Below are 21,957 nucleotides of genomic sequence, written 5' to 3'. Positions count from 1 at the left end.
CAAAGACCATAAGGTTTCTAATAAAGGTGTAATATGAAGATTTGGCTCTTTCATGCCATGCAAGTTATAAGTAGAAACTTATTTGGCGGTAGATTGATGTAATGAGTCAATAATGTTGCCTTATCAGTATAATTAACCTCAATCCTTAACTTCAGCCTCAGCCCTAAATATACAGGTTTCCCTAGCACATGATGGCATCACGTAAGTTAGGAATGATGGATGTGGTTGGGCATTTAATGAAAAAGCATTACTCCATACACGTTTCTATCCTGTTTATGCAAGAAATTATGCTGAACAACACAATGGCTAAAAAAGAAAAAGAGTGGGAAAAATGAGGGAAGCAGATGCATTTTCATAAACAAGCAATTAGGTCAGTCAGAGAACCCACGGACCGAGGACTGCGAACCGCCCCTAGATGGGGGCTTGTCGTCTCGGGAGTGGGGAGGGTCCTGAAGAGTAAGCCCCTCCATGCGGCGATTACTTCCCTGCGAGGTGTCTTGAACCCAGAGACTCACACCTCCGTCCAGAGTCAAGTTCTGAACCCACGGCGCTTCTCTCTGCCAGGCAACAGGTGTCTGCCGTGGGTGTGGTTAAGCCAGCTGGGTATTTGTTCAATTAATGTAGAATTTTTCACTTATTGCCTGTTTTGCTTAAAGCGAGATCTCAAAATGCACCACTGCCTGGGTTCCCGCAAAGGTGCCTCTGCACCCCCATCACTTGGACCCAACCCACTTCTGTAAACAACTCTGGACCTTGCCCCTGAAAGAATTTCTTCAATTCTTACGGAACCCTCAAAAGTAGCATCTGCAAATCTGCAGAACCTTCAAAAGTAGCAAGGCAATCCCCATCTCCTTGTCTGTCGCCAAAAAAAAAAAAAAAAAAAAAAAAAGTGCCAGCCAGCAACTTAAAATAAGGGACCGTCAGAGGATTCTTCTCAGACCATGACCTAATGGGTTAAAATAAACACACGAAGGCACACAAACAATTTCAACAGAACAAGATGGCAACTCTCTCGTCCTCGCCAGAGACTCCAGCGCCCTGACCCCTCGGCCCCGTGCCCCGGACTAACGTGAGCCCGAGAGCAGGCGCGCCCAGGCCGCGCGGGTCAGCGGGGAGCGGCGAGGCGGGTGGGCTCGCTGGGGAGGCGGATCGCCGGGTCCTCCACTTAGAAAGTTATCCGTGCAGAACTGTCCCCTGGCCAGCTGCCCGGAGCCTTCCGCGGACCAGCCGCGTTTCCAGGCACGCGGCCCTCCTGGGGGACGAAGTGCCCCTGACCTCCTCCGGCACAGTCAAGCTTTTGGGGGAGTCAGCGTCCCCAATCCAGGGAGCAGGGTCCCGCCCGGCGGCGGCGTCTGGAACGGAGCGGAGCGACTGGCGCCTGCCCCGAGAGCACCGAAGGCTCCGCAGACCCAACAGGTCTCGAGTTCCGGGGACTCGGAGCACCGAGGCCGGCGCGGGCGCCAGGGCCCAGTGGCCCTTCCCTGGCCGAAGTGACCACCTCTCCCCGCGTTTCCCCAGAAGAGCCCTGGGGGTCTGCTTGGGGCTCGGACCGACCCGCGGTCAGCGAGGGCTCCCCGCAGCCCCTTCCTCCCATCCCGCGCCCAAAACACAAAGCCACATGCCCGAAGGAGAGGGGCCGCGGAGCCGCAAAGTTGCAATTTGCAAAGAAATGCCTGCTCCTCCGCATCCCCCTGCCGCTGGGTGGGCTCGGGTGGGAAGTGGGAGAAGCGCCGCCGCGCGCGGGCATGGGGTCGCTGTCCTTCCAGGGAGGTTCGGGACTGAGAAGGACAGACCTCCCCCAGCATCGCTCCTCACGGTGGGTCCCCCCGACCCAGCGCGCGCCCTGTCCGTGGCACTCACCATCACGTTCCCCTGCATCTTAGCGGTCTTGATCATGGCCTTTTCCTTCATTTTGCCCCAAGTCCGAACCCGACTTCTGGTCCAGGGAAGAGAAACTTAATCCATTGTCCTGGTGAGGATTAAAGTAGACTGGACTGGCTGAAGACTGGATGGAAACGGGTTTTTGAAGGAAAAAAAAATCTTCCAGGTCTTCAGTTTTCTCACCTCCGCGCACCCCTGCCCGTGTCTTTACTCAGCGGATCCCAATAGCAATCAACTCTTTTTGGCCGCTACCAATAAAGAAAGAAAGAAAAAAAGCCTGGATGGAGGGTGGGTGTTGCTTTAAACAAAAAGCCAGGAGCCAGGGAGGGAGGAAGAGGCTGCGAGCCCAGCTAGCGAGGGCGAGAGGCAGCTCTGACTGCGCGCGTGTCCACCGAGCTCGGCGCCAGCACACTGCGAGCAACAGCGCGGCGGCACGCACAGGGGGCGCACTCGGGGACGCCGGCGGCTCGGCCCCGGCTCCGGGGGCTCCTCCAGCAGGCGGTGCGGGGTGCAGCGGTCGCCGCTCTGGTCCCTAAGGGCAGGGACCCGGCCGGGCGGCGACGCCAGGGGAGGCGTGTGTGTGTGCGCGCGCGCGCGCCAGGTTTTCTGTCTGAACTGAGCTGGACTGGGAAGCCTCGAGCTGCATCAAGGTTAAGCGAGCGCAAACTGTTTGGGTAACGAGGGCAGCCCCTCCCCAGACACCCCTCCTCGGGTAGACGCCCACTCCGCGCTGGACTGGGTGCGCGCGCGGCGCACGCACGCTCGGCTTCCACAAACAAGCACTACGGTGATTGCCGCGGATGGAGCCGCCGTCCGCAGCCGGGTGTTAACTATTGATCGGCTGCGCCCGCGAGAGAAGGGAGAGGCCGGGAAGAGCCAGACGCGGCTGTGCCCGTCGCCCGCAAGTCTGGCGAGGGAGCGGAGGGGAAGCGGGGGAAGGCTAGGGATGGCAGCTTATAAATAATGTTGTAACAGGTTACTATGGGACACACGTCGCGTCTCCATGGTTGCACTCTGGGTTGGCCTCTGCATCCGCCGCCGCGGCAATTCCAGGGCGCAGAGGACCTTGCAGTGAATGGCAGCGCCCGGCTACCAGCGCGGGTGGCAGGGGCCGCTCTCCCCGCCGCACACCTGGCTTCCCGGCCTCCACTTCCCTCCGGGCCTCCGCCCCAGCCGCGTCCCTCGGCGGCTTTGTTTCTTTGGCTCGCTCTTGGCTGCCTGCGGGATCTGACCCCGAAGACCTCCCGCAGCCCAGTCTGGCGCCCACGGCTCTCCCTACCCTGGAACCCCAGCACTGGCCGGGGCCAAATCCCAGCGCCCATTTCTCTAACCTCCACCCCAAGAGGCGGGTTGACCAGTGACCGCGACCTGGGTTCCCGTCTCCACCTGCTGCCCCTGGGCGCTGTTCCCATCAATCATCCATTCACAAACGCGGTTGGCTCCCTGGACCACACACAGATGCGCGCTCCCAGGAGCGCGCGCAGAGGTTGGTCAAATTCATATGCAGACCCACCCAAGCCACTTGAAAAACCAGATTCAGAGCTGATAGACACATCAGGCTGTGTGTGTGTGTGTGTGTGTGTGTGTGTGTGTGTGTGTGTAAGGGCGTGCCAGCGCCTGAGGGGAAGGGCATGGCGGGAGCTGGAGTCTGGGAGGGGTTTGGGAAGCTTTTCCATTATTTACATTCACAAAAAAATCTCCGTTTGTAAAAAAGAATAAGAGGTCACTTTCGAGCTCATGAAGAAGTAGATGATTCTAAGTAATTGCAACTGTAATTACATGTAAGTTATCCACAATGCCCACATGCAAACACGAATGATACATTATGTATTAATATATGTATATTCAAAAACATTAGGACATGTGCACGAGCAATTGGTTACAAGTGTAAACTAATGATTTGGGCTTGAGAGAGGTAAGTGGAAGAAATAGGTAAACCAAAGCAAAATGCTTGAAAAGTCACTTTTAAAGTAATGTGGATCAGGCTTTGCTAGAAAGTGGTAGGTGCACTTTAGGTTCTAGAAGCACTCTTCTCTGTTGGGATTTGTCTTACTGTCTTCTGGCTGTGATAACAAAATAGTGTAAAATGCGTGGGTTATAAACAACAGGAATTTATTTCTCACAGTTCTGGAGGCTGGAAGTCCAAGACCAAGGTGCAAGCAGATGCTTTGTGTGGTGAGAATCTGATTTCTGGTTCACAGATGGCGCCTTCTCAGTGTGCATCACATGGTGTGAGGAAAGGCACCTCTCTGGGGTCCCTTTTATCAGGGTGATGGCTCCTCCCTCATCACCTCATCACCTCCCAAAGTCCTCAGCCCCTAACACCATCACCCTGGGGTTAGGTTTCACATATGAATTCTGGAAAAGGGAGAGACAAAAATTCAGACAACAGCAGGCTGCTCAATCACACCTTTTCTCAAGAAGGGAACACTTAGAGTACAGGTCACTTACACTGTTGAATGTCAGGATAAACCCAGTTGAGTGTGGACAGAATATATCACCAATCTAAATCCGATTGTAAGCAGGGTTAATATGGTTCTTTTGCTTCTTCCTTTGAAGCGGCATTCGTTCATCTAGAATTTTCCTCCCTCTCTTTCCCACCAAGCATGGGCCTCCAAACTGCTCCCCACAACCTGCCTTTTCCCATCCCATCACCACATGATGGAGGAGAGGAAAAATCAAGAAGACAAACATATATATATATATATATATATATATATATATATTTTTGTTTTGAGACGGAGTCTTGCTTTGTCACTAGGCTGGAGTCCAGTGGCGTGATCTCGGCTCACTGCAACCTCCGCCTCCCAGGTTCAAGTGATTCTCCTGCCTCAGCCTCCCAAGTAGCTGGGACTACAGGTGCCCACCACCACGCCCAGCTAATTTTTGTATTTTTAATAGAGACGGGGTTTCACCATATTGGTCATGCTGGTCCCAAACTCCTGACCTCAGAGGACCTGCCCACCTCGGCCTCCCCAAAGTGCTGGAATTACAGGCGTGAGCCACTGCGCCCGGCCGACAAACATATTTTTTAACCTTCTATTTTTATAGTTTCCTTCAAATTATCCCTGGAAATCAGAAGTGGAATCATACGGATTAAACCTTTATGTTAAGAAACAACCACAATAAACATATGTGTGCATGTGTCTTTATAGCAGCATGATTTATATTCCTTTGGGTATATACCCAGTAATGGGATGGCTGGGTCAAATGGTATTTCTAGTTCTAGATCCCTGAGGAATCGCCATACTGTCTTCCACAATGGTTGAACTAGTTTACAGTCCCACAACCCAAATGTCCAACATGATAGACTGGATTAAGAAAATGTGGCACATATACACCATGGAATACTATGCAGCCATAAAAAACGATGAGTTCATGTCCTTTGTAGGGACATGGATGAAGCTGGAAACCATCATTCTCAGCAAACTATTGCGAGGACAAAAAACCAAACAACGCATGTTTTCACTCATAGGTGGGAACTGAACAATGAGAACACTTGGTCACAGGAAGGGGAACATCACACACTGGGGCCTGTTGTGGGGTGCGGGAATTGGGGAGGGATAGCATTAGGAGATATACCTAATGTAAATGACGAGTTAATGGGTGCAGTACACCAACATGGCACATGTGTACATATGTAACAAACCTGCACGTTGTGCACATGTACCCTAGAACTTAAAGTTTATATATAAAAAATAAAAAATAAAAATTCCCCCAAAAAAAGAAACAAATAACCCTATTAGCAGACACATTTTCTCCTAACACTTAACCAACAGCGTCCAGTCCTGCTACTTGTTAGAGGCGCTGTGTTCTGCTCCTCCTGCCCAGCTTGTGACCCAGAGCCCTGCAGAAAGGATAGGGCTGAAAAGCAGGCATAAAAGGAAACACTGCACAGAATAAAACAGCAAAGCAATCCTGAATATCCAGGTAATGCCTGTTCATTCTTTGCAACGTGTCTACCTTGAGCCACTGCCATATGGAATACTGGAGAGGAAAAGAATGAGGCTAAGAGGTCTCTGTAAGAAAGACAGGTCCAGGTGCGGTGGCTCACGCCTATAATCCCAGCACTTTGGGAGGCCGAGGCGGGTGGACCACCTGAGGTCAGGAGTTCAAGACCAGCCTGGCCAACATGGTAAAATCCCGTCTCTACTAAAATTACAAAAATTAGCTGGGCATGGTGGTGGACACCTGTAATCCAAGCTACTCAGGAGGCTGAGGCAGAATTGCTTGAACCCGGGAGGCGGAGGTTGTGGTGAGCCGAGATTGTGCCATTGCACTCCGGCCTGGGCAACAAGAGCGAAACTCTGTCTCAAAAAAAAAGAACAAAAAAAAGGAAAAGAAGGAAAGTAAGTGTAAGGAAAAAGTGCTTAACATAAGATGGTTCTCAATTTCTATATTAATTTTGGGTATTTAAATTTCTGATAAAATTCAATTCGGAACCATTTGAAGACAGCATTACCATCAGAAGTTCATTCCCTATCCCATCCTCAAAATGACTTTTTCTTGTGCTATTGCATTCACAAACAGGGATGTGAAGGTGGTCCTATATTTATCAACAGTTTCACAAACAGGGATGCGAAGGTGGTCCTATATTTATCAACATTTTCGCAAACGGGGATGCGAAGGTGGTCCTATATTTATCAACAGTTTTGGCTCTTCTCTGTCTAGGTTTTGCAGTTGTATTTCCTGTTTTTGTTTGTTTGTTCACCCAGATCACAGGAATAGCATGTTTATCTTACGATTCTCACCGCACTGTTTCTGTTAGGTTTGGTCACATAGAATCTGCCCTGTTCCATAGCACCTAAGCCCCATGGAATCTTCCGTGTTTCACAGCACCTAAATCCCATAGAAGCTGCCATGTTTCACAGCACCTAAGCCCCATAGAATCTGCCGTGTTTTTCAGCACCTAAGCCCCATAGGGTCTGCCATGTTTGGGAGCACCTAAGTCCCATAGGATCTGCCATGTTTCACAGCACCTATCCCATTTACCTTTGCCTAGTGTTGACTCCTGGCATGTGTTTAATTCTGGCAGGCTCTGTCCACACCTATCACAATGCAGCCATTGGTGGTGTCGATCCTTTTGCTCCATCCTCAATTTATGTACTGCTGGCATTAGCAACTGCTTTGATTAAAGTGGCTTTGATTTAAGTTGAGACTTTTGGCAAAATGTTCAGTTTCACATTTGACATCAGGAAATAGTTACAGCACAGGAGCAGATTCCTCATGTCACTTTATCAGTGTTATTTTCTTGTTGCTTATTACTAGAAGTTTAACTGCATGAATACCTTTACCTAGAGGAACCCCAACATAAGGCAACTCAACCTGTAAAATTCCCAATTTGTAAAAGCGACAGTCAACGTGACATAAGAAAAGAGACTAAAACTATTCTTTTACACAGATTAGTTCATTACTGATGTTCTTTAAAATGTGAGCTGTCCTATTTCACTGAAGACATTATTCATTTCACATGATTTAATTTACCCATAAATTTTCAGGAAGATATCTACTAGAAAAAGTATGAGATGGGTCGGCATTTATTTTACAAATCACACAGGTATGATAATAATCGTTTGGAGAAAGCATATAACCAATGTTTTTAGCTTCTCTCAATCATTCAGAAATTAGACAAATTAACTTAAAATATGTTGAGAGACTAATGATATGCCAAGCTTGATGACATGTGATAGATTTTATTATAGAAAACAGTCCCTGTCCTTGAGGATCTCACGGTGTCTGGTGGGTGATATGCAAATTAACAATATGGACAACAACAAAAATAATTGTACAAATATGATACAGGAATACAGATGGCAGGGCTCCTGGGGTCTTTAGGCAAATATGAAAGAAAGCTAAAGCAAGTGATGACAGCTGAAATACATTTTATAGGAGCAATACAAATTTAGCCATTAGGACCTGGAGCCAGGGAAAATGAATGCCTGCAGAGGGATGGCCTGAGTAGTTCAGTACACTATCACCTGGAAGCAGAGCTGGGTGATGGAAATGAGGGTGGAAGGACATGTGGAGACCAGCAGTGAGAGCCATGTGAGCCGTGTCCTACAAAAACAGGAATGTCGCAGCCAAGGCCCCCAGGTAGACATTGATATAGCATGATCCATACTTTAAAATCAAATCCACCCTCCAAAGCAGGGAGACAGGGACAGGCAAGGCAGCTAGGAAGCTCCTGCACTAATTTTGGGTTGGAATAATAAGGATATCATTTGGGTAGGTAGTAAGGATTAGAGAAGAGCCATTTATAGATCATCCATGCAAAACTATTAAGTCCAATATCAACCCTGCTCACAGATGACCCATTTCCCCACTGACCCTTTGCAACCAAGAGATGGAAACGGAATTTAATCTCACCTCAGTGCTAATGTTATATTACAAGGGCTATGTTGGCCATTAAATCAATCATCTTATAGCTAGAATTGCACATCTAACAACTTATCACACATATTTACTTATTGGCACGGCTGCCTTTGCATCCCAACTTGAAGGCCTATGCCTGCATGTTCTTCTTTGAGTCCTCCTACTTTCACACTGACTGATGAGTAGTAGGTTGTTCAATTCATGTTTCTCGAACAAACGAAGCAATAAATGAGAGGATATTTATGCTGCTGCCTCTTCCACTATACTTTCAACTAAGAATCGACATATTAAATTTTAAAATAAATATCTTCTTTAAACCTAGGCATATTGGCCTATTAATGAAGCATGTATCCAAGAAATTCCAAGGGTATACATAAACCAACCTCCAAAATTAATTAAAAGACTGTTATCTTTGGCAATGTTTCACTTTGCCAGAGTAGACTAAGAGTGAAAGAAATGATTTATGTTCATCTCTATCTCGCACTTGCTCAATTTAACAGGAACCTCCCAGGAATGAGATAATTCAGACTAAATTCATTACAACACGTTGGTCTTCTATTTCAGGTAATAGACTGTATTTCAGGTTCATCTCAGGTATGAACCAAAATACACAGGTATCCAGCTCAGTGTGTCTTTTCTCCCCACATACTTGTCTCTGTGCATTAACAAATGTGTTAGGCTACAGACCGAATTTCCAAGAGGAGGAACAGAGGATGGAGCCTGGATGTCATATCCACAGCCATGTCTCACGTCACATGTCGGTGTAGGCCAATACCACAACTATTTTAACTCTTCAGTTTCCTACTCTAACAAATTGATTAAGGCCTCCTGACTCAAGCAGTATTTTGTTGGTATTAAATACTATCTTAAGGAAGTGTAAGAAGTACAAAACAATTGTTGGGCTCTTTTATACATGAGAATATCTTTATACAGAAACTTTGTAACTAAGCAAAGTATTGGAAAATATAAGCAGTTAAGTGTATGTGATTCCTAGTATCTTTGAACAATGTGAAATTACTTTACATATCTATTTTACAGAATCAGTGAAGCACAGTATATATTTTAGAGTTCTTGTAGAGTCTTTTATAGAAGAGCAATGGTCAAACACTTATAAACTGAAAGCAATAGACTTACTAAACACATTTAAACAAAGGGAGTGATTTTAGTTTGCTTATGATAGAACTTATATGTAACAAATGCTCATATCACAGATGGCATAAAATTATAATATTCAAACATCAGCAGTTCAAGAAAAGCAGTTTTGTGACACATTCATAAATGAACCTTGTTAATTTTCCTATAAGATGGCACAATTGTTGATAAATAAGTCAAAAATCTGTATATATTTATTTCAAAAGAAAGAAAAATTTAGAAGGCCATAGCTTTTTAAAATTTAATTATTATGTGTCTACCAACATAGCGGGGACTTTTGGGCCCACCTCTATAAAATATGTATAAAACTCTTCCTCCAATGAGGTAATAAATAAAACTATATCGACTAGGAAATTCCTATTAAAACAATTAACCCATGAAATAGTGTTATTAAACTAGAATACAAAAAGGACATCACTATTAAATATAGGAATTCATTGTTTACAACGAGTTATAGAAAAGAGAAACACGTGGTTAAATGACTTTTTAAGAGATATTTTGGACCAGGCACAGTGACTCATGCCTGTAATCCCAGCACTTTGAGGGCCGACGCAGGTGGTTCACCTGAGGTCAGGAGTTCAAGACCAGCCTGACCAATGTGGTGAAACCCTGCCTCTACTTAAAATACAAAAATTAGCCAGCTGTGGTGGCGTGCACCTGCAGTCCCAGCTACTCGGGAGGCTGAGACAGGAGAATTGCTTGAACCTAGGAGGCAGAGGTTGCAGTGAGCTGAGATGGCACTGCTGCACTCCAGCCTGGGTGGCACAGCGAGACTCCATCTCAAAATAAAAAAAGAAAGAAAGAAAGAAACAAATAAATAAAAGATATTTTGGAGTTAGAAAAGCTTGGGCTGGTATTTTAAGCATAGCTCCCTCTCCCTCTACCCCCAGCATCCACACAATTATACATTCCTGCAGCTTCCCTACCACCAACACTCAGACCCAGGTAACGAACACTTCTCTCTGCTGGACAACTGCTGTTCATTCTTTTTTCATCCACTCACATCTACTTTTTTCCCTTCTCCAGTGCATTCATCTAGAGATATCTGAAGTACAAATCTCATCACATCACCACACTCTCCACAGCTAAACCCCTTCTCTGGCGTTCACTGCTATTAGGGAAGTATCCAAGTTTCTGGACCTTGGAGAGGGGCCGCCATTACTTACTTTTCCAGCTTCATTTTTTTTCTTTTTCTGTTGTCTTTTCTTTCTCCTTTCCTCCTTCCTTTTTTCCCATCTCCCCTCCTCCTCTCTTTATCTTTATTTCTTTACCTCTGTACTCCATTCACATGGCTTTATTCAATCTTGGTACACACTTAATTCCTGCACAGAGATTTTTTCGTGCTATTTTCTTTACCTTAAATACTCTCCTCTTCCTTCTGTCTTTTAATGTAAAAACAAACCAAAACATCTTGTTGAAGTACGACATTTAGAGAGAAGTGCCTAAGTCATAAGTCTACAACTTAATAACTTATCTCAAAGTGCATACATCCATGTAATCACAACCAGATGAAGACATACAAGATAAGCGGTGTCTCAAAAGATTTCTTGGTGCATTCTTCTAGTTACAATCCCATTTCTCCCCTGAGAAAATCACTATCCTGACTTCTAACGCTAGTTAGCTGGGGAGACTTCTGAACTCCATATAAATGGAATCAATGTGAATGGCTTCTTTCACTCTGTCTCCCTTGGGAGACTCGGAGATATTGTATGTAGCTGTAGTCAGCTTCCATCACTGCATGGCATTCCATGGTATGAACATTTCATAATCAATCCATGCTATTGTTGAGTCAATTTGGATTTTTTTTTTTTGCTTGGATAGGCACTAACATAAATAATGATGTTATGACCATTCTCATTACAGTCTTGATTTACACATGTAAGAATTTCTGAAGGCTATATATCTAGAAACTTGATAGATTTATTAGAAGGTATATGTTTAGCCTTAGTAGATTTATTAGAATGTGTGTATTCAGCCTTGTGTAACCTGATAAACAGAGGCTGCACAAAATTACTCCCACACAAGTAGGATGTGAGTGACCTGTTGCTTCACATTCTTCTTACCATTTGATATTGTCAGGTTATATTTTGTTTTATTTCACTTTTGAGTAACATTTCTGATGACGGTATACGGGTATCTTGCATTGCCTCAAAAACTAATGACAGTGAAAAGGAAAGCTTTTATATGTTTCTTAGTAATTTGGATATTTTCTTTTGTGACGTGCGTGTTAATGTTTTTGCCCATTTGTCATTTGTAGTGTCCAGGACTTTTAATATCTTTATTTGTCAAACCTTTTAATATATCCAGGATATGAGTCCTTTGTCAGTTAATAAGCATTGCAAATACTTCTTCTTTTTGGTTTCCATTAAAATGATGTTCTTTTTCATTTGGAATAGGGTAATACTTGATTTTTAAAAATTCAATCTTCCCTGGTGTTTACCTATTTAATTATTTGCTTGAAAAACAACTTTTAGCTTTTTGAGTTGTGTCATGCACTTTTTATCAATTTAATTAATAAGATTGGTCATACGTACTATTTTTTCCTACTTTCTTTATGCAATCATGCATGACATAACATTTCAGTCAACATATGACAGACCACATATACCACAGTAGTCCCAGATTATAATGAAGCCGAAAAATTCCTGTTCCTAGTGACATCATCATTGTCCTAACACCATAGCACAATGCAGTTCTCACGAGTTTTTGGTGATGCTGGTGTGAACAAACCTATTGCACTACCGCTTGTTTAAAAGTATAGCGATACAATTATGTATGGTACATAATGTTTGATAATAATAAACACAAAATTGTGTGTGTGTCTTAATTTTTAGCAAAAAGTTTAAAAAGTAACAAATGAAATAAGAAATTTGAAAATAGATAAAAGCATATAGATAAGAATATAAAGAAAATATCTGTATGATTGTATTATTTGTGTCTTAAGGTAAGTGTGATTGCAAAAGAATCAAATAATTTTTTAAAAACTCAAAATGTTAGAAAGTAAAAAAGTTACAGTAGGCTAACGTTAACATATTATTGAAAAAAGAAAAGGGTTTTTTTTGTTTTAGTTTTAGTTTTTGTTTTTACAAATTTAGTATAGCCTAAGTGTAAAGTGTTGGGAAAGTCTACAGTAGTGTACAGTAATGTCCTAGACCTTCACATTCACTCACCACTCACTCCCAGACTCACTCAGAGCAACTCTAAGTTACAGAAGCTCCATTTATGGTAAGTTCCCTGTACAGATGTAACATTATTTATTTCTTATGCCATAATTTTACTTTACCTTTTCTATGTTTAGATATACAACTACTTACCATGGCATATCTAAACATAGAAAAGGTACAGTAAAATTAGGTATTCAGTCCAGCAACATGCTGTACAGGTTTGTAGTATAGGAGCTATGCCATATAGGCTAAGTGTGTAGGAGGCTGTACCCTCTATATTCATGTAAGTACACTCTTTGATGTTTACACAATGACTAACATCACTGAATGTTGGGTTCATAAAGTATCCTGTCATTAAGCAATGTGTGACTGTGTGTTATTTGCTGTTCTATTGGGTAAATTATTGAGATGTTAGGTTATAAAATTGGCACTTTTAATTTCCTTTGTAATTTTTATTTTTGGCCAATGAGTTGTTTAGAAATAATTTACAAATATTTAAAGATGTTTGAGGTATATTTTTAATATTAACTTTTAGCTTAATCTCACTATAGTTAGAGAAAAAATACTCAGAATTTCAATCCCTATACTTGGTGATACTGTGTGTGTGTGTGTGTGTGTGTGATTTGTTTTCAAACATACGGTCAATTTGGGCAATGCATATACATATTGGATAGAATATGATGTATATTCTGAAATGACAGATGTAGTATTTCTGTATTTTTCAACTAGATCAAGTTAGCTCATTGTGATTTTCAAATCTACTACATCCTTATTGATTTTTTTTCTTGGATGTTCTTTCAGTTTCTCAGAGAGGTATGGTAAAATCTAAGATTGTAGATTTGTCTATTTTCCTCCTTAATTCTGTTAATTTTTGCTTTATATATTTTGAAGCTATATTATTAGGTGCATACCAGTCTAAGATTATAAATTCTTGTCAGATAGACCCTTTAATCCTAATGCAATGACACTATTTATATTTAGAAATGTGTCATTTCTTGCCTTTCAGTGTCATTTGCAAAATTATATATGCCAATTTTATTTTGCCTACTGCTTGCATGTATTCAACTTACTCTCTTTTTTTCAGGGTTTTTTTTTTTTTTTGGTCCTCATATTTTAGGCAGCTTTTTTTGTGAGCTGCCTGTCTTTATTTGCTAATTCAGTCTGACAATTTTGCCTTTTAATCTGAGTATTCAATCCATTTGCATTAATGCAATCACTGACACATTGGCATTCCAATCAATCTTACTAATTCTGTTTGTCCCGTTTTTCCTCTTTTGAGTTAATTATGTTTATTGATAAATCTTCTTCAAATTAGCCTGTTATTAAACAATTATTATTCTTTCAGTGTTTACCCCATAAATTCAAAATATATTCTTAATTAGAATCTTATATTGATAATCATATTAATTTCAATTAGTTGATAGTTGCATTAATTAATATATCTACAATTCTCCAGGTAATAAGGAACTTTGAGTAATCAAATATTATTTAACAAAGTCCTGTCTTTTGTGCTATTATTTATCAAGATTTATATAGGTATTTTTTTCTAATCATTGTTTTGTACAATCAATATTCCCTTGGACATAGCCACACATTTATCTTTTCCATTCTTCTCTTCTTAAGTCATCTATTTTCATCTGTGATTATGTTTTTTTGCATGAAGAGTTCTCTCAGTCATTCCTTTACTGGAAGTTTGACAAATTTCCTAGGTTTTTGTTTTTCAAAAAAATGTCCTTATATTTTTCCTTTGTTTTGAAGAAGAACTTTAGAGCATATGGAGTTCTATTTTGGCATTTATTTTCATTCCGCACTTGACAATGTCATGTCTCCATCTTCTGACTTGCACTCTTATACAGTCATTATTAGTATTTCTATTTCCCCTTAAAGATAACATATGTTTTGTCTCTGACTGCTTTTTAGACTTCCTCTTGTCTTCAGTTTTCAGAAATTTTATTATGATATCCTTAGGTACATTTTGTCTGTTTGTTGTAATCTATCTGAAGTTCATACAGCAGCTAATATCTGTTGGATTTTTCCGTTACTTTTGAAATGATCTCATCTGTAACAGTTCCCTTTCTATTCTCTCCGTCTTCTCCTTCTGCAACTTTAATTACACCTATACTAGAGGTTTCCAACATCTATTATGCATGTTACACTGTTTTCTACATTTTTCTACTTGTAACCAGATATTGAATTTTTTTGTTTGCTCCCTTTTCTTCTGTTCAGCTGTGTTAAATGGTTGTTAAATCCATTCATTGAGTTCTTAATTTCATATCTTATTTTGTTTCCATTCTAATATGCCCATTTGATTTTAAATGGTTTCCATTTCATGGTATAATTCTACATTTTGGGCCAGACACAGTGGCTCACACCTGTAATCCCAGCACTCTGGGAGGCCTAGGTGGGTGGATCACTTGAGGTCAGCAGTTTGAGACAAGCCTGGCCAACGCAGTGAAATGCTGTCTTTACTAAAAATACAAAAATTAGCTGGGCACAGTGGCACACACCTGCAATCCCAGCTACTTGGGAGGCTGAGACAGGAGAATCGCTTGAACCCGGCAGGTGGAGGTTGCAGCAAGCTGAGATCCTACCACTGCACTCCAGCCTGGGCCACAGAGCAAGACTCCCTCTCAAAAATAAATAAATAATAATAACTCTGTATTTTATGATTTAGTTTTACAAACATGCTAAAGTCCATATCTAATAAGTTCTTTCTGGTTCTTCTGTTATTCTGGTGTGTGTGTCTGTGTGTGTGTGTGTGTGTGTGTGTGTGCATGTGCGCACGCGCGCTTATGTGTTGCTGTTGCTCTTTGTTCAATTATTTTGTTCTTTCTTGGTAATTTTTGGCTCAATACTTCATATTTCCAATACTAGGTGTGCAGATAATTTGAAGCTCTAGATGCTTTGTCTTCCTCCAGAGTGGATTCACTTTTGCTTCTGGCAGGTAGTTAGGAAGAAGGCAAATATTCTTAATTTAGACAAGGGTTAACATCTTTACAGTCTGGGCTTTCGTCCTGAGGAAAATTCCATCTCTAATTCTTTTTTTCTAGTGTGTAGCCTTTGGGGATTCCAATTCAAACTCTAGTGTGTTTCTCAGGACTTCTACTTTTAGACCCCAAGTCTATAGAAATCCACAACCTGTCAGCTGCCTTGTGCAAATGAGTGAATGCCACCCCTATATTTCTCTACCTCTCTGTTCTTCCATCTTTTGGACATGAAGACACAAGTCCTCACTTCCTTGGCAGCTCTGCAGTGCCTTTGACCTTTTCTGGATGTTCCTGATAGCGGATTTGTTCTGTAACAGCAGTCTTCCATTTCCGAAGGCAGAGCTCCCCATCACTGGTCCCTGCTTTACCAGGTTAATGACTGTTCATCCATTCACCTGTTCACAAGGAAGCCCCTCCAGACTTTCCTGTCGAGAATAAACCATCTTTTAAAAGCTCTCACAATTCTGTGTAATTCTATTTTGTATTATTTGCCAAAGTTGCAAAGTTATGTTTATTTATGGAACGGTTAGAATTTTTTTTAAATCTCCGCAACTAGATTTTAGGCATTATAAGGGTAGAATTATTGTCTATTTTCATTCGTTTTAAATTAGGTAGGCCTCAAACGTAGTTTTAAGTGGCCAAATATAGTTTAAATATATTGTTTAAATGCCAGAGACATTGCTATCTTTTGGTTTGTTTTGGCCCCTCCAAATCTCATGTTGCAATTTGATCTCCAGTGTTGGAGGTGGGGCTTAATGAGAGGTGTTTGTGTCATGAGGGCAGATGCCTGGTGAAAAGATTGATGCCCTCCTTGGTGGGGGGCAGTGAGTGAGTTCTCACACATGATTCCCATGGGAGCCGGTTGTTAAAAAGAGCCTGGCACCTCCCCCTCTGCTTTGTGTTCTTCCTCACCACGTGATTGCCACACACCAGCTTCCCTCCACCTTTCACCATGAGTGGAAGCAGCCTGAGGCCTCACCAGAAGCAGATGCTGGCTCCATGCTACTTGTACAGCCTGGGCACTGTGAGCCCAATAAAACTCTTTTCCTTATAAATTGCCCAGCTTCAGGTATTTCTTTGTAGCAGTGCAAAATGGACTAAAGACAGCCATCTAGCTGTAGAGTATGATAAGGTACAATAAAAGTTCAATTGTAGTTGGTTATTCTATACATAGGTATATGGAAATCTGTTCAAAATAGCATTTAAAGACCTACACTTTCTTTACAAATAGAGAGACAGTACAGGTATAATTGCTAAGGACCAGAGCTTTGGTACTGGATTATTTACTGCTGAATCATGGCTCTGCCACTTAGTGCTGTGGGGCCCCCATGCCTCAGTTTCCCCATCTAAGATGATAATGATAATAATGATAGCACCTTGTCGCTCATCATGCTGTATAAATGAGTAAATGTAAAATACTTATATACATGGATTAATTTATGAAAAACAGGGCATGGCTAATAGTAAGCATTCAGTATATGTTATCTATCATTTTAAAATTATAAATATATATAAATGTGAAAACTGCTACATCAATGAGAATTCTTCTGGCAACCAGTGGTATATTTAATAAAAATTACATATTTAATACTTGTCCTGATAATTTAACAGTATTTAAATGAGCCAGTTCTTACTGCCATGGCCCACAGTATTATTTATTATGCTATGAGGCTTACTCTATTACATACTTGTTTGATTAATTAGAGCAGAGCACCTTCCATAGCAGTATATACAAGATATAAGTGCACCTGTGAGGTACCTGGATGCTTATGAAAATACACATTACCAGGCCATACCCTGATCCAGCAGGTCTAGCTTCAGGCCTATGAATTTGCATTCTGTACATGTACCCAGTTGATGCTAATACAAATGGTTCTTGAAGACACTTGGGAAAAAAACTGCTCTTTTAAGGCAAAACATTACAGATGGAACGATTGTGGATCCATTACAAAGAGAATGAAGGGCAAGTGTGAGAAATAAAACAGCATGAGTTTTGAAGGCTGAAGAATATTAGTACTGTTAATGTGGATATTTGCAAGAGAAATTCAGAAAGCGTAAAAATTGTGACGATGATTTTGTCACCCTGCAGTCCATATTCGCAGCGGTGTTTGCTGCAGGGATGAAATTCTTGTTCCTGATGAAGTCACAGTGACGAAAAGGTACAAACAGTAGCAAAAAGAAGGTTCATACTGAACCATGGAATAATGACTCTCTAAACTGTCTAAAATACACTATTTTTGGGGTGGAGCCAAGATGGCCGAATAGGAAGAGCTCCAGTCTATAGCTCCCAGCGTGAGCGACGCAGAAGGTGGGTGATTTCTGCATTTCCAACTGAGGTACTGGGTTCATCTCACTGGGGAGTGCCAGACAGTGGGTGCAGGACAGTGGGTGCAGCGCACTGTGCGTAAGCCGAAGCAGGGCAAGGCATCGCCTCACCCAGGAAGTGCAAGGGGTCAGGGAACTCCCTTTCCTAGTCAAAGAAAGGGGTGACAGACGGCACCTGGAAAATTGGGTCACTCCCACCCTAATACTGCGCTTTTCCAAACGGGCTTAACAAACCATACACCAGGAGATTATATCCCGCACTTGGCTCGGAGGGTCCTATGCCCACGGAGCCTCGCTCATTACTAGCACAGCAGTCTGAGATCAAACTGCAAGGTGGCAGTGAGGCTGGGGGAGGGGCGCCCACCATTGCCAAGGCTTGAGTAGGTAAACAAAGCAGCCGGGAAGCTCAAACTGCGTGGAGCCCACCACAGCTCAAGGAGGCCTGCCTGCCTCTACAGGCTCCACCTCTGGGGGCAGGGCACAGACAAACAAAAGGCAACAGTAACCTCTGCAGACTTAAATGTCGCTGTCTGACAGCTTTGAAAGAGAGTAGTGGTTCTCCCAGCACGCAGCTTGGGATCTGAGAATGGGCAGACTGCCTCCTCACGTGGGTTCCTGACCCCCGAATAGCCTAACTGGGAGGCATCCCCTAGGAGGGGCAGACTGACACCTCACACGGCCGGGTACTCCTCTGAGACAAAACTTCCAGAGGAATGATCAGGCAGCAGCATTTGAGGTTCACCAATATCTGCTGTTCTGCAGCCACTGCTGCTGATACCCAAGCAAACAAGGTCTGGAGTGGACCTCTAGCAAACTCCAACAGACCTGCAGCTGAGGGTCCTGTCTGTTAGAACGAAAACTAACAAACAGAAAGGACATCCACACCAAAAACCCATCTGTACGTCACCATCATCAAAGACTAAAGGTAGATAAAACCACAAAGATGGGCAAAAAACAGAGCAGAAAAACCAGAAACTCTAAAAATCAGAGAGCCTCTCCTCCTCCAAAGGAACGCAGCACCTCACCAGCAACGGAACAGAGCTGGATGGAGAATGACTTTGACAAGTTGAGAGAAGAAGGCTTCAGAAGATCAAACTACTCTGAGCTAAAGGAGGAAGTTTGAACCAATGGCAAAGAAGTTAAAAACCTTGGGAAAAATTAGATGAATGGCTAACTAGAATAACTAATGCAGAGAAGTCCTTAAAGGACCTGATGGAGCTGAAAACCACAGCACGAGAATTATGTGATGAATGCAGAAGCCTCAGTAGCTGATTCGATCAACTGCAAGAAAGAGTATCAGCGATGGAAGACAAAATGAATGAAATGAAGCGAGAAGAGAAGTTTAGAGAAAAAAGAATAAAAAGAAACAAACAAGTCCTCCAAGAAATATGGGACTATGTGAAAAGACCAAATCTACATCTGATTGGTGTACCTGAAAGTGACAGGGAGAATGGAATCAAGTTGGAAAATGCTCTGCAGGATATTATCCAGGAGAACTTCCCCAATCTAGCAAGGCAGGCCAACATTCAGATTCAGGAAGTACAGAGAACACCACAAAGATGCTCCTCGAGAAGAGCAACTCCAAGACACATAATTGTCAGATTCACCAAAGTTGAAATGAAGGAAAAAATGTTAAGGGCAGCCAGAGAGAAAGGTAGGGTTACCCACAAAGGGAAGCCCATCAGACTAACAGTTGATCTCTCAGCAGAAACTCTACAAGCCAGAAGAGAATAGGGGCCAATATTCAACATTCTTAAAGAAAAGAATTTTCAACCCAGAATTTCATATCCAGCCAAACTAAGCTTCATAAGTGAAGGAGAAATAAAATACTTTACAGACAAGCAAATGCTGAGAGATTTTGTCACCACCAGGCCTGCCCTAAAAGAGCTCCTGAAGGAAGCACTAAAAATGGAAAGGAACAACCAGTACCAGCCACTGCAAAAACATGCCAAATTGTAAAGACCATCAAGGCTAGGAAGAAACTGCATCAACTAATGAGCAAAATCACCAGCTAACATCATAATGACAGGATCAAATTCACATATAACAATATTAACCTTAAATGTAAATGGGCTAAATGCTCCGATTAAAAGACACAGACTAGCAAATTGAATAGAGTCAAGACCCATCAGTGTGCTGTATTCAGGAAACCCATCTCATGTGCAGAGACACACATAGGCTCCAAATAAAGGGATGGAGGAAGATCTACCAAGCAAATGGAAAACAAAAAAAGGCAGGGGTTGCAATCTTAGTCTCTGATAAAGCAGACTTTAAACCAACAAAGATCAAAAGAGACAAACAAGGCCATTACATAATGGTGAGGGGATTAATTCAACAAGAAGAGCTAACTATCCTAAATACATATGCACCCAATACAGGAGCACCCAGATTAATAAAGCAAGTCCTTAGTGACCTACAAAGAGACTTAGACTCCCACACAATAATAATGGGAGACTTTAACACCCCACTGTCAACATTAGACAGATCAATGAGACAGAAAGTTAACAAGGATATCCAGGAATTGAACTCAGCTCTGCACCAAGCGGACCTAATAGACATCTACAGAACTCTCCACCCCAAATCAACAGAATATACATTCTTTTCAGCACCACACCACACCTATTCCAAAATTGACCACATAGTTGGAAGTAAAGCACTCCTCAGCAAATGTAAAAGAACAGAAATTATAACAAACTGTCTCTCAGACCACAGTGCAATCAAACTAGAACTCAGGATTAAGAAACTCACTCAAAATCACTCAACTACATGGAAACTGAACAACCTGCTCCTGAATGACTACTGGGTACATAACGAAATGAAAGCAGAAATAAAGATGTTCTTTGAAACCAACGAGAACAAAGACAAAACATACTAGAATCTCTGGGACACATTCAAAGCAGTGTGTAGAGGGAAATTTATAGCACTAAATGCCCACAAGAGAAAGCAGGAAAGATCTAAAATTGACACCCTAACATCACAATTAAAAGAACTAGAGAAGCAAGAGCATACACATTCAAAAGCTAGCAGAAGGTAAGAAATAACTAAGATCAGAGCAGAACTGAAGGAAATAGAGACACACAAAACCCTTCAAAAAATCAATGAATCCAGGAGCTGGTTTTTTTAAAAGATCAACAAAATTGATAGACTGCTAGCAAGACTAATAAAGAAGAAAAGAGAGAAGAATCAAATAGATGCAATAAAAAATGACAAAGGTTATATCACCACCGATCCCACAGAAATACAAACTACCATCAGAGAATACCATAAACACCTCTACGCAAATAAACTAGAAAATCTAGAAGAAATGGATAAATTCCTAGACACATACACCCTCCCAAGACTAAACCAGGAAGAATTTGAATCTCTGAATAGACCAATAACAGGCTCTGAAATTGAGGCAATAATTAATAGCTTACCAACCAAAAAAAGTCCATGACCAGATGGATTCACAGCCAAATTCTACCAGAGGTACAAGGAGGAGCTGGTACCATTCCTTCTGAAACTATTCCAATCAATAGAAAAAGAGGGAATCCTCCCTAACTCATTTTATGAGGCCAGCATCATCCTGATACCAAAGCCGGGCAGAGACACAACCAAAAAAGAGAATTTTAGACCAATATCCTTGATGAACATTGATGCAAAAATCCTCAATAAAATACTGGCAAACTGAATCCAGCAGCACATCAAAAAGCTTATCCACCATGATCAAGTCGGCTTCATCCCTGGGATGCAAGGCTGGTTCAACATACGAAAATCAATAAACGTAATCCAGCATATAAACAGAACCAAAGACAAAAACCACATGATTATCTCAATAGATGCATAAAAGGCCTTTGATAAAATTCAACAACCCTTCATGCTAAAAATTCGCAATAAATTAGGTATTGATGGGACGTATCTCAAAATAATAAGAGCTATCTATGTCAAACCCACAGCCAATATCATACTGAATGGACAAAAACTGGAAGCATTCCCTTTGAAAACCGGCACAAGACAGGGATGCCCTCTCTCACCACTCCTATTCAACATAGTGTTGGAAGTTCTGGCCAGGGCAATCAGGCAGGAGAAGGAAATAA

General features: G+C 42.1%; 1 protein-coding gene across 8 annotated transcripts in view, besides 1 other annotated feature; it reads right to left on the bottom strand.

The window, feature by feature from the left end:
• Nucleotides 1-21,957, bottom strand: part of DPP6 (dipeptidyl peptidase like 6) — a 1,146,153-nt gene that overhangs the window by 1,004,691 nt on the left and 119,505 nt on the right. For 2 of the 8 annotated variants that reach the window (NR_157195.2, NM_001364501.2), the window contains exon 1: nucleotides 1,861-2,553. The exons of 5 other annotated variants lie outside the window; for them this stretch is intronic. Coding sequence is in view for 2 of the 3 variants with exons in the window: in NM_001364501.2 (NP_001351430.1) it covers nucleotides 1,861-1,911 (51 nt within the window). In the remaining variant the exon portion in view is untranslated. Of the gene's footprint in view, nucleotides 1-1,860; nucleotides 2,554-21,957 lie in introns of those variants that run through there. One more of the 8 variants, NM_001039350.3, reaches the window with a different exon arrangement.
• Nucleotides 2,980-3,481: an enhancer, noted in NCBI's record as "H3K4me1 hESC enhancer chr7:153583199-153583700 (GRCh37/hg19 assembly coordinates)". NCBI's record gives its function as "activates a minimal SCP1, AML or CMV promoter by ChIP-STARR-seq in naive and primed H9 embryonic stem cells {active_cell/tissue: H9 hESC(naive and primed)}" and the evidence as "EXISTENCE:reporter gene assay evidence [ECO:0000049][PMID:30033119]".

This window comes from Homo sapiens, chromosome 7 (assembly GCF_000001405.40).
Source record: "Homo sapiens chromosome 7, GRCh38.p14 Primary Assembly".
Lineage (NCBI taxonomy): Eukaryota > Metazoa > Chordata > Mammalia > Primates > Hominidae > Homo > Homo sapiens.
Note: the sequence above shows the minus strand (reverse complement) of the source record. Positions and strands in the feature narration are given on the sequence as shown.